General features: G+C 45.8%; 1 long non-coding RNA gene across 1 annotated transcript, besides 1 other annotated feature; it reads left to right on the top strand.

The window, feature by feature from the left end:
- Nucleotides 390-589: an enhancer, noted in NCBI's record as "active region_13020". NCBI's record gives its function as "activates an Ori minimal core promoter by ATAC-STARR-seq in GM12878 lymphoblastoid cells {active_cell/tissue: GM12878}" and the evidence as "EXISTENCE:reporter gene assay evidence [ECO:0000049][PMID:35858748]".
- Nucleotides 4,132-10,858, top strand: LINC01925 (long intergenic non-protein coding RNA 1925). Its single transcript, NR_136505.1, has 3 exons — nt 4,132-4,331; nt 4,671-4,730; nt 10,619-10,858. It is a non-coding gene; the product is annotated as a long intergenic non-protein coding RNA 1925 (long non-coding RNA).
- The last annotated feature ends 2,053 nt before the right edge of the window (nt 10,859-12,911 follow it).

Below are 12,911 nucleotides of genomic sequence, written 5' to 3'. Positions count from 1 at the left end.
TCACTTCGCTGGGTTTGGCTGGACTCCAGGCTTTAGCACAGCCTCTGGGCTGTAGGCCCTAGGCCCCAGGTTGGCTTCAATTCTGGCCCATGGGTGTCTGTCTCATCCCTCTGGGACCAAATGCTACCAGGCCACGTGGTCTGCTTCACATTTCTCATTCGGGGGCCCAGGCTCTGGGGACAGCAGTTGTTCATATCCCCCTCGTGACAGATCATCAGAGAACAGGAGGGAGAGCCCAACAGCAAGGCATATTTCACGTCGCTCCAAATAGGCCTGTGAGACAGAAGAAAACCAAGCTGTTTCCTCCTCTCTACTCTCACACAGTGACTCAACACTTTTGACACCAGATATGTGGGGGATTTTCCTCACACACCAAGCAACCAATTCTTCAGCAGATTCTCCAGCGGACACTAGCTAGGTTTCCTCTAATTTAATTCAATTCTGACATTTTCTACCAAGATAGCAATAGATCCCACGGGTTGGGGACTCAGTCCCGCAGGACTGCCCCCAACTTCAGAAGCCAATCGCAAGCCCCAGACGTAGCCAGTGCTTCTGACCTATCAGCTATAAATCAGGGTTCCCGTGCCCTCTTCCTCAGGTTTTATTAATTTGCTAGAGCTGCTTACAGAACTCGGGGAAACACTTTACTCACACTTACCAGTTTATTGTAAAGAATAGGACAAGGCTACAGATGAACAACCAGATGCAAGAGATTCACAGGGCAAGGCACGTGAGTAGGAGCCCGGAGCTTCCATGCCCTCTCCAGGGCACTGCCCTGCAGGAACCTCCAAATGTTCAGCTATCTGGAACCTCCCCCATCACGCATCCCCAACCCACCCGCTTTTTGGGTTTTTATGGAGGCGTCATCACCTAGGCACAATTGCTTAAATCATTGGCCACTGGTGATCAACTTAACCTTCAGCCCCTCTCGCCTGCCCAGAGATTGGAAGTAGGGCTCAATGTCCCAACCCTGTAATCCTGTCTTGGTCTTTCTGGTGACCAGCCCCTATCCTGAAGCTACCCAGGGGCCCCCAGCCACCAGTCATCTCATTTGCATACAAAAGATACTCTTATCACTCCAGAGATTCCAGGGATTTTAGCAGCTGTATGCTAGGAAACAGGATGAAGACCAAATGTGTATTTCACAATATCATGATGGTCAAAGCAAGTAATATGGACAAGCCCAAAGCCGAGAAGCAGGAAATGACTCCACCCAGCATGAGGCCAAAATAAAGGTGTGAAAATATACAGTCACTTGGAGCTTAGTGAAGGGGGTATGCTTTAAGAAACGCATCCTTGGGCCAGGTTCTGTGGCTCACGCCTGTAATCCCAGCACTTTGGGAGGCCGAGGTGGGTGGATCATGAGGTCAGGAGATCGAGACCATCCTGGCTAACACGGTGAAACCCTGTCTCCACTAAAAAATACAAAAAAATTAGCCGGGCATGGTGGCGGGCGCCTGTAGTCCCAGCTACTCGGGAGGCTGAGGCAGGAGAATGGCGTGAACCCGGGAGGCGGAGCTTGCAGTGAGCCGAGATTGCGCCACTGCACTCCAGCCTGGGCGACAAAGCGAGACTCCTTCTCAAAAAAAAAAAAAGAGACACATCCTTAGGAGATTTTGTCATTGTGAGGTCATCATAGAGTGTACTTACACAATTCTAGATGGTATAGCCTACTACACACACAGGCTATATGGTATAGCTTATGGTTCCCAGGTTACAAACCTGAACAGCATGTTACTGTACCGAATACTGTAGGCAATTTTAACACAGTGGTATTTGTATCTAAATATATCTAAAGACAGAAAAAGTTAAAAATATATAGAAGTATATATTTTTATACTTTCATACAATATAAAAGATTTTTTTTTAAATGGTACACCTGAATAGGTTACTTAACATGAATAAAGCTTGCAGGACTGGAAGTGGCTCTGGGTGAGTCAGTGAGTGAGTGGTGAGTGAATGTGAAAGCCTAGGACATTACTACATATTCCTGTAGACTTTATAAATATTGTATGCTTAGGCTACACTAAATTTATTTAAAATTTTTGTCTTTCTTCATAATAATAAGTTAACCTTAGTTTACTATAACTTTTTATAAAACTTTTTAATTGTTTTTAACTTTTTGACTCTTGTAAATCACTTGGCTTAAAACATAAATCTTGTACAGCTGTACACAAATATTTTCTTTTTATATCTCTATTCTATAGGCCTTTTTATATTTTTAAATTTTTATTTTGTTTACTTTTTAAGCTTTTTTGTTAAAAACAAAGACATACACACAGTCACGCAATACTTTTGACACCAGCTGTCAAAAGTGTAGCCTAGACCTACACAGGGTCAGGATCATCAATATTGTCTTCCATCTCCACATCTTGTCCCACTGGAAGGTCTGATTCATATCGGACTTTTCTTCAGCAACAATACATGTCAGAAGCTAAATGTGTTGCGAGGTAATAACTGGCAACTTAAAATTCTATACTTTGATAAGTGGAGACAGCAAATATCTAGCTGTTTTGCTTCTCTAGTGGGAGGATACATCTGCCTCTCATCAATACTCCTGTGATGGGAAATTACCAAAACATAGTAGGGGGATTCAGATGGTGGACATGTAATAGAAGCGAACAGGGGTCTGCTTGCCTGGCGCAGTAAAACCAGATATTCACACTGAGGCTGTGCAGCGGTAGAAGGAAAGGCATTTATTTGCAGGGGCTCTAAGCAAGGAGGACCAAACAGCTAATCCTCAAATCCTGACATTCCTGATGGCTTGGAGGTCAGGGTTTTTAAAGGCAGGGGTAAATTTCAGGAAAACAGCAGTTACAGACAAAATCGTACATCAGTACACGGAGGCTACACTTTGGTTTTGGCTTGAAAGGGCAGGATATCTTGAAGTAGGGACTTACAGGTCATAGATGCAAAGAGAGGAGACGTTTTATGCAAAAATTTAGGGTTGGCGGAAAAGAATGTTAGCTCTGGCTAATGGGTGTGACTCCCTCTAAGCCTCTCAGGAAAAATTTAGAACAAAGAATGGTGATTGGAGTTCAGTCCTCAGTTTCCCCTTATCTGAGGTCTCTGTGCCAGCAGATCCATTTGGTGGGGGTCTGGGTTTCTGTAAACAGCTCAGGGACATATGTTAAGATAAAATGTTATCTTTAGTTTCTATAGGGGAACCAACCATATCCTGACTCTAACTTCCTTGGCTATTGTTTCAGGCTACTATTCTTCTTGCTTATCAAGTTGTTTACTTCTCAAGGCTAGTTGGGTGCCTGGAATTTCCCTTCAAGGAACTCAAGATTTTCCTTTATTTCCCGGCTTGGAGGTCCGCAATCCCCTAAAAACGGGATTCCTGCTCCATCTCATATACTCCAGAACAAAAACAAATATCTACCACAATCCTTTGCTCCATCAACAAAAAAGTAAGCAAATTTACTCATCCGTATGAGTCAGCATTCATCTAAAACAAAGCAAAACCCTAGAGCAACACAGTAAAACCAAATAAATAAGGAAGAAAATAATAAAGATAAGAGCAGAAATAAAATAGAAAAACAAAACAAAATAAAAATACTATAGAGATGAGCAGGGCTGAAGGTGTGTCTTTGAAATGGCAAACCTCTAGCAGACGAAGTCAAATAATATCAGAAATAAGAAATATAAATACACAGATGAGGTTTTAAAAAAAATCGTAAGTGGGTACTGTGAACTTCATGCCAGTAAATTTGAAGAACTGGATGAAGGGGCATGGTTTTGAAATATCTAGTTAGCAACTGGATATTTGTGTCTGGAGCTCGGAAAAGCCCAGACAGGAAACAAAGGTGACCGGAAACGGGCAGTTATTCATTCAGGTCTGGGAGGCAGAAGTGATGGCAGGGTACGTAGGAGTGTCATGATTTTGAAGCGAGGCAGATAAAGAAAAGCCAGGAATGAAAACCCAAAATGAATAATCACAAAGTTCGTGGAGAAATCGGAGAAGCGCGACGACCCCTAACAGAGGGAGGGGAGAGCAGAAGCGGAGTGGTCAACTGGGAGACATTAAACGCGGCAAGGGAGGAGAGCGCAACGTGCCTGCGGGGCCGGGCGGCTCGGCGGCCGCGAATGACCTTCGGCGGAGCAGGGTCAGCGCCCCCGTGTGGCAGCGGGCGCGTGGCCGAGGTCCGAGGAGGGCCCGGAGGTCTGGCCGAGGTCCGAGGAGGGGCCCGGAGGTCTGGCCGAGGTCCGAGGAGGGGCCCGGAGGTCTGGCCGAGGTCCGAGGAGGGGCCCGGAGGTCTGGCCGAGGTCCGAGGAGGGGCCCGGAGGTCTGGCCGAGGTCCGAGGAGGGGTCCGGAGGTCTGGCCGAGGTCCGAGGAGGGGTCCGGAGGTCTGGCCGAGGTCCGAGGAGGGGTCCGGAGGTCTGGCCGAGGTCCGAGGAGGGGTCCGGAGGTCTGGCCGAGGTCCGAGGAGGGCCCGGAGGTCTGGCCGAGGTCCGAGGAGGGGTCCGGAGGTCTGGCCGAGGTCCGAGGAGGGGTCCGGAGGTCTGGCCGAGGTCCGAGGAGGGGTCCGGAGGTCTGGCCGAGGTCCGAGGAGGGCCCGGAGGTCTGGCCGAGGTCCGAGGAGGGGTCCGGAGGTCTGGCCGAGGTCCGAGGAGGGGTCCGGAGGTCTGGCCGAGGTCCGAGGAGGGGTCCGGAGGTCTGGCCGAGGTCCGAGGAGGGCCCGGAGGTCTGGCCGAGGTCCGAGGAGGGCCCGGAGGTCTGGCCGAGGTCCGAGGAGGGGTCCGGAGGTCTGGCCGAGGTCCGAGGAGGGGTCCGGAGGTCTGGCCGAGGTCCGAGGAGGGGTCCGGAGGTCTGGCCGAGGTCCGAGGAGGGGTCCGGAGGTCTGGCCGAGGTCCGAGGAGGGGTCTGGAGGTCTGGCCGAGGTCCGAGGAGGGTCCGGAGGTCTGAAAGCGCAGACTGCAGGGCAGACTACTGCAGGATCTAGGCGCTGACGAACAGGAAAGAGGGTGGGAAGTAAGAGAAGAACCTCCAGGGAGAGAGAGGGGGACACTGATAGATGGGGATGGCGTGTGAGCAGGGAGAGAGCTGGCGGGGAGCCCGGAATGGCAGACAAATGCCTCTTCCTATGAAAATAAGGGGAACCGGTGAGGCCAGGAGCTGAGAGAGATCTTTGCAGAGAGGGTGGAGTAGAGGCAGAGCGCAGGAACTTGCAGGGATTCCTGCTAGACAGCTTCTGTTTTCTTCTTCTTCCTTTTTTTTTTTTTTTTTGTGAGACGAAGTCTCGCTGTCCCCCAGGCTGGAGTGTGCAGTGGCGCGATCTCGACTCACTGCAACCGCCGCCTCCTGAGTTCAAGCGATTCTCCCGCCTCAGCCTCCCGAGTAGCTGGGGTTACAGGCGCGCGTCACCACGCCTGGCTGATTTTTGTATTTTTAGTAGAGACGGGGTTTCGCCATGTTGGCCGGGCTGGTCTCAAACTCCTGACCTCGGGTGATCCGCCCACCTCGGCCTCCCAAAGTGCTGTGGTTACAGGCGTGAGCCACCGCGCCCGGCAGATAACTTGTGCTTTCGCAGAGGAAGAATTGAGATCATTTGCGGAGAGTCTGAGGGTGGGGGTCGAGCAGGGCCCTCCATAATTCTGGAACACAGTCTGGGCTGACCATTTCCCCAGCAACCACTCCTAGACCAGGATTATTGAAGGACTGTTAGACGCCAGCTGACTCTGGAGGCTGCAGAGCTAGCTATGATCTGTGCTGGGACTAAAACCTGGGTTCTGACTTCTGGGTACGTTCCTTACAGCTCCTTAAAATCTAGGAATCTAAAGTTTTATAAAGATTGCATTAGCAGGGTCGGGCACGATGGCTCATGCCTATAATCCCAGCACTTTGGGAGGCAGAGGCGGGCAGATCGCTTGAGCCCAGGAGTTCGAGACCAGCCTGGCCAGCATGGTGAAACCCTGTCTCTACTGAAAATACAAAAATTAGACGGGTGTGGTGGTGGGAGCCTGTAATCCCAGCTACACGAGAGGCTGAGGCAAGAGAGTCGCTTGAACCCGGGAGGCAAAAGTTGCAGTGAGCTGAAATCACACCAGTGCACTCCAGCCTGGGCAACAGAGCGAGACTCTGTCTCAAAAAACAAAACAAGAGCAACAACAGAAAAAAAACAAAAAAAAATTCATTAGCCACACTTTCTCCATAGGAGATATTAAGTAGAACGTAAGAATGATCTTTCGGCTATCCGTATTTTTCTATTCCTGCAATTTATAAATCGTAAGTTTAATTATAAAATTTACATTCCTTCTTTTCAGTCTCAAGATTTTCATTCTGCTGAATAGTGTATAAAAATGCAATTGTTCCCTCTCCCTCTCCCCCTCCCTCTCCCTCTCCCTCTCCCTCTCCCTCTCCCTCTCCCTCTCCCTCTCCCTCTCCCTCCCCCTCCCCCCACGGTCTCCTTCCACGGTCTCCCTCTCAAGCCGAGCGGAAGCTGGACTGTGCTGCTGCCATCTCTGCTCACTGCAACCTCCCTGCCTGATTCTCCTGCCTCAGCCTGCCGAGTGCCTGCGATTGCAGGCGCGCGTCGCCACGCCTGACAGGTTTTCGTATTTTTTTGGTGGAGACGGGGTTTCGCTGTGTTGGCCGGGCTGGTCTCCAGCTCCTAACCGCGAGTGATCCGCCAGCCTTGGCCTCCCGAGGTGCCGGGATTGCAGACGGAGTCTGGTTCACTCAGTGCTCAATGGTGCCCAGGCTGGAGTGCAGTGGCATGATCTCGGCTCGCTACAGCCTCCATCTCCCAGCCGCCTGCCTTGGCCGCCCAAAGTGCCGAGATTGCAGCCTCTGCCCGGCCGCCACCCCGTCTGGGAAGTGAGGAGCGTCTCTGCCTGGCCGCCCATCGTCTGGGATGTGAGGAGCCCCTCTGCCTGGCTGCCCAGTCTGGAAAGTGAGGAGCGTCTCTTCCCCGCCGCCACCCCATCTAGGAAGTGAGGAGCGCCTCTGCCCGGCCGACCCGTCTGAGAAGTGAGGAAACCCTCTGCCTGGCAACCGCCCCGTCTGGGAAGTGAGGAGCGTCTCCGCCCGGCCAGCCGCCCCGTCCGGGAGGTGAGGGGCGCCTCTGCCCGGCCGACCCGTCTGAGAAGTGAGGAAACCCTCTGCCTGGCAACCGCCCCGTCTGGGAAGTGAGGAGCGTCTCCGCCCGGCCAGCCGCCCCGTCCGGGAGGTGAGGGGCGCCTCTGCCCGGCCGCCCCTACTGGGAAGTGAGGAGCCCCTCTGCCCGGCCACGGCCCCATCTGGGAGGTGTGCCCAGCGGCTCATTGGGGATGGGCCATGATGACAATGGCGGTTTTGTGGAATAGAAAGGCGGGAAGGGTGGGGAAAAAATTGAGAAATCGAATGGTTGCCGGGTCTGTGTGGATAGAGGTAGACATGGGAGACTTTTCATTTTGTTCTGTACTAAGAAAAATTCTTCTGCCTTGGGAAAAAAAAAAAAAATGCAATTGTTAGAAAATCATGTTCAATTTGAAATGGACTTGTTCTGGACACAATAGCAATCTTAATGGAGCCTTATTCTTGGCTATTATGGCTTTAGAAAAGGTGTGGGACCCATCTGGGCTGCAGCTTCCATTATATGGAATACTAAATATAATCATCATCCTTCACTATCCAGAGTGGATTGGTTCCAGGACACCACCTTATCATGGATCCTTATCATCAAAATCCATGATGCTCAAGTCTGTTATATAAAATTGTTTAGTGAAGTATCCTCCTGTATGCTTCATTTATATTTATTTATTTTTATGTGAGACAGGGTCTTGCTCTGTCACCCAGGCTGGAGTGCAGTGGTGCAATGTTGGCTCACTGCAACCTACGCCTTCTGGGCTCAGGCAATCCTCCTGCCTCAGCCTCATGAGTAATTGGACTACAGGTGCACACTATATACTTTAAATCATCTCTAGATTACTTATAATTCCTTATACAATGTAAATGCTATGTAAATAGTTGTTATACTGGCTTGTTTCGAGAACAATAACAAAAAAGTCTGTACAAATTTAGTACATTCAAAACCTTCTTTTTTTAAAAAATTTTTTTGATCTGTGATTGGTTGAATCCATGAATGTGGAACCCATGGATATGGAGGCCAACTGTATTTTTATTATATGTGATTGCAAAACAACAACTTTTAAAGTTTATAAAGCAGGCCAGGCGCGATGGCTCATGCCTGTAATCCCAGCACTTTGGGAGGCCAAGGCGGGCAGATCTCGCGGTCAGGAGTTCGAGACCAGCCTGATCAACATGGTGAAACCCTGTCTCTACTAAAAACACAAAAATTTGCCGGGCTTGGTGGTGCGTGCCTGTAATCCCAGCTACTCAGGAGGCTGAGGCAGAAGAATCACTTGAACATGGGAGGCGGAGATTGCAGTGAGCCGAGATCACGCCACTGCACTCCAGCCCGGGCAACAGAGCAAAAAAAAAAAAAGTTTATAATGCAAATAAACTTAATAGGTGATGTGAAAATTCACTACAGCATAGGAACAATCAACAATGAACACCTTTGAAATTTAGTAAAAAGTCTGCGAAATAAAAGATCATATTTAATAAATCATCTGTACTTCTAGTGCTCTTTATTTTTAATCTTTTAGAATATTGATATTCTTATGTGCTAAGAAAGCACATTCAAGAAAAATTTAAACTCAAAGTATATTGTATTGTCTCAATGAAAGATATAGATAACTAAAATGGAAAGAAGTATTGAATCTTGACCTTGAATAAAAAATGTAGTGTAAGTTATTTATAGGAGTCAAAAACTCTAATGAAAACTGCTAGTTATTTACAAGAAATAAAGAGTAAAGTAAAATTCTGCCAGTCTTCAAAGACTATAATATCAACAGATACTACCACATAGGAATGAAACCATACTGTGAAACCTCACCAATCTTGATACACTTATTTGGAATTTGTGACAATTTTGACAAAAGTTTAGCAAAAGTTTACCTTTTCACTATTATTAATCAAATTATAGAATAAACAATATTCATAAAGTTAATGTTTAAATTACTTTAGAGTACAAATTATGTTAAAATATCTTGAGCATACCATACTTAGTAACAATTTACAAGTGAATTATAAATATTTTAATCTATCCCATAAATCAGTTCTCTTTAGGAGATCTACTATTCTTGTACTTGTTTGTTCTTAAAAATAAAACTGTTTCTTTAAAGATATCACATCATTTAGAGTTTAATTTTACTAGGCTCTTCCCTACCTAATTGTTATTTCATATTAAAAAATTGGACAAAATTATTTTGCTTTTGTTCAGTTGTTCTCCCGTTTTACTTTAAAAAACAAAATACAAAAAGGGCCAGTCAAGGTGGCTTATGTCTGTAAGCCCAGCACTTTGGGAGACTGAGGGAGGACGATTTGAGACCAAGAGTTCAAGACCAGGGCAACATAGTGAGACTCCTTCTCTACTAAAAAAGAAATTTTAAATTAGCCAGCCATGTTGGTACATCCCTGTAGTCCTAACTACTTTAGAGGCTTAGGCAGGAGGATCCCTTGAACCCAGGAGATTGAGGCTGCAGCAAGCTGTGATAGAACCACTGCACTCCAGCCTGGGTGACAGAGCAAGACCCTGTGTCAAAAATAAAATGTAAATTTTAAAAAAGTAAAAATAGAAAAAATAAGTTATGATAAAATAGGTGCAATTTATTGAGCTTCTATTATTCTATTCATATTACTTATATTATTATTCTATTCATAAGTTACAGGCAATGTATGAGGCATTTTAAAACATTATCTCTAATCCCCCACCCCAGTTATTGCAAAATAGATATTATTGTGCTTATTTCTCAGATGAGGAAATTGATACTTAAAGAAGTAATTTCCCTGAGGTCCCAAATATTTTCTGAATCTGATAAATAAGATAATCCATATGAAGGGTCTAAAACATAGAAAGTACTCAATAAATGTCTACTGTTATTACTATTAAAAAGAGGCTCTTGGCCGGGCACGGTGGCTCACACCTGTAATCCCAGCACTTTGGGAGGCTGAGGTGGGCGGATCATGAGGTCAGGAGATCGAGACCAGCCTGGCCAACATGGTGAAACCTTGTCTCTACTAATAATACAAAAATTAGCCAGGCATGATGGTGCACACCTGCAATCCCAGCTACTCGGGAGTCTGAGGCAGGAGAATCGCTTGAACCGGGAGGTGGAGGTTGCAGTGAGCCGAGATCGCGCCATTGTACTCCAGCCTGGGTGACAAGAGCAAAACTCCATCTCCAAAATAATAATAATAATAATAATAATAAAAAATCTCTTGTTAAAGGTAGGTGAGAATTCAAGGACATAAAAAATAGCCCCTCTGTCTTTTGGGTCTGTTTCAGTTGCATATGAATATTCATTCATTTAACAAATATTTACCAAATGTTTCCTAGGAACCGGGAATGTTGGCACGAATATATGAACAAAGATGTATTAGCTAGTCCAATATTTTAAAAAGTGATCAGCCAAGTATCTCTCTCTCTCTCTTAAATATTTCTAAATTTCCAAATTTCACATTTTCTATGTGTTTATTCTGTACTCAAATGGCGTTTATATGTTTTTCATGTTAGAGGTTTTGAGCTGTGAAAGACCTTGGAAATTAGCCCCAAATCTTTCATTTTACAGGTGATAATAGTTAAGCCTAGAGCCATGAGAGGCCTGTGCTCCGTGGGACAGGAGGCTAAGAGCGGAACAGGGCCCACTGTTGGATGCTACTGATCACCAGACTGTGGCCTTTATACACATCAACTTGCTTCATCTCCACCAGAACAAATGAATGACAAAACCCGATGAAAGACAAAGCCAGAGTAAATCCCTTCTCATCTATGTCACGGCAAAAGATATAGTAACAGCAAAAACAAGCTCTAAAAACCTTGTTTGTAAAAGGTTTGGTAAAACTGTTTCTTTAAAGATATTCCATCATTTGGACTTTAATTTTGCTAGGCTCTCCCTACCCCACCAAATTGTTATTTCATATAAAATAATTGGACGAGGCCGGGCGCAGTGGCTCACGCCTGTAATCCCAGCACTTTGGGAGGCTGAGGCAGGCGGATCACCTGAGGTCAGGAGTTCGAGACCAGCCTGACCACCATGGAGAAACCCCACCTCTACTAAAAATACAAAATTAGTCGGGCCTGGTGACACACTTGTAATCCCAGCTACTCGGGAGGCTGAGGCAGGAGAATTGCTTGAACCGGGGAGGTGGAGGTTTCGGAGAGCCGAGATCGCTCCATTGCCCTCCAGCCTGGGTAACAAGAGCGAAACTCCTTCTCAGATAAATAAATAATTGGACAAAATTATCTCACCTTTGTTCAATTGGCTTTCTGTTCTACCTTAAAAAATAGAAATTAATTAATTAATTGTGATAAAAATAGCTGCATATTATTGAGCCTTTTTTGTATTGGTCAATAGCCTGAAATGTCCATATGTGATACAGCTGAAGCCTAATAGGAAAACAATTACTAACATTTCGGAGTTGGAACAGACCTGCTGGTCGTGACTCCAGTATTTGTACATCATGATGAGGAAATTGTGGCCAGAGATATTAGGACTTGTCCAAGTCTCCAAACTGAGACTCAAGGGCCATATTCCATTTTCCTCGGCTCATGGCTTTCCACTGAACTTCAAAAGAGGCTCCAGTACCAGTCCTAAGAATCATCAGTGGCCTTAGAATAGTCTGGAGGAATTACTTCAGACTGTTCCTCTGAACTGGGACACAGCAAATGGAATAAAATACTGGCTCCTAGGACAAACAGAGAAAGTAGCTCTCAATCACAGCCCTCTTTCAAAAACCTTTAGTTTAAAAACTAAAGAAATAGATACATGAAGTAGCCAAAGAACCATAAGCTTTTAAAAACTTAGAAGCCATTTCTTTATTTCAAAAAATTTTTCAGACAGTTCTCAAGCATAATCACATCTCAGAGGTTGTAGACATTGCACCTGGTACCCATCTCAACATCATTAATCTCTTTACCGGATATATACATATATATATATATATATATACACACACACACACACACATATACACACATATACATATACATATATATACACACACACACATATATACATATACATATACATATACATATACATATAACATTTTAGTGGATGCGACTAACAGCACCATGGCTACTCTGCCACACAAGGTTTATTCTTTTTCAAGTATGGAAGAGAATATCAAGTGACTGATTACCAAGCTGTAGAAGCCAATATCCTTTTCAAAAAACAAGATTGCTCTCTTGCCATACTCAAAGGCTTGACTTTCAGAGAATGGTGTATCATCCATTGGTGGTTAAAAATTGTGACAGAACCTTTCAGTCAGTCACAAAAAAATTTCCAAAGGGATGTCCCATACATTTTGCTACTGTTGCCCAGGCTGGAGTGCAGTGGCGCAATCACAGCTCACTGAAGCCTTGGACCATGTGGGCTCAGCTGATCCTCCCTCTTCAGCCTCCCATGTAGCTGGGACTACAGGCAGGTGCACGCCACTACGCCTGGCTAATTTTTTGCATTTTTTGTAGAGATGGGGTTTCACCATGTTGCTCAGGCTAGTCTCAAACTCTTGAGCTCAAGGGATCTGCCTGTCTTGGCCCGAAGTCCTGGGATTACAGATGTCAGCCACTAAGCTTTGCCACATTTTGCTACTCTTGCTCTGCATTTTTAAGGCACTTCCCTCCATTGTTAATTCATTTCCCTGTATTCGATCTTTGAATGTTAATTGTTAGAAGCTATTGTTACTAAGATAAAGAAGACATGGACCTTCTCTTAAGAAGCTCTTAGTCTATTGTGATGATTCTCCAAATTTAGTGAGCATGAAAATCATCTGAAGAGTGATATAAAACAGATCTGCACTTTATAAAATAACCCCGGGTCATTCTGATACAGGTGGTTCCCAGGCTCCATTTCTAAACCC

This window comes from Homo sapiens, chromosome 18 (assembly GCF_000001405.40).
Source record: "Homo sapiens chromosome 18, GRCh38.p14 Primary Assembly".
Lineage (NCBI taxonomy): Eukaryota > Metazoa > Chordata > Mammalia > Primates > Hominidae > Homo > Homo sapiens.
The sequence above is the reverse complement of the archived record's forward strand: the minus strand, read 5'-3'. Positions and strand labels throughout refer to the sequence as shown.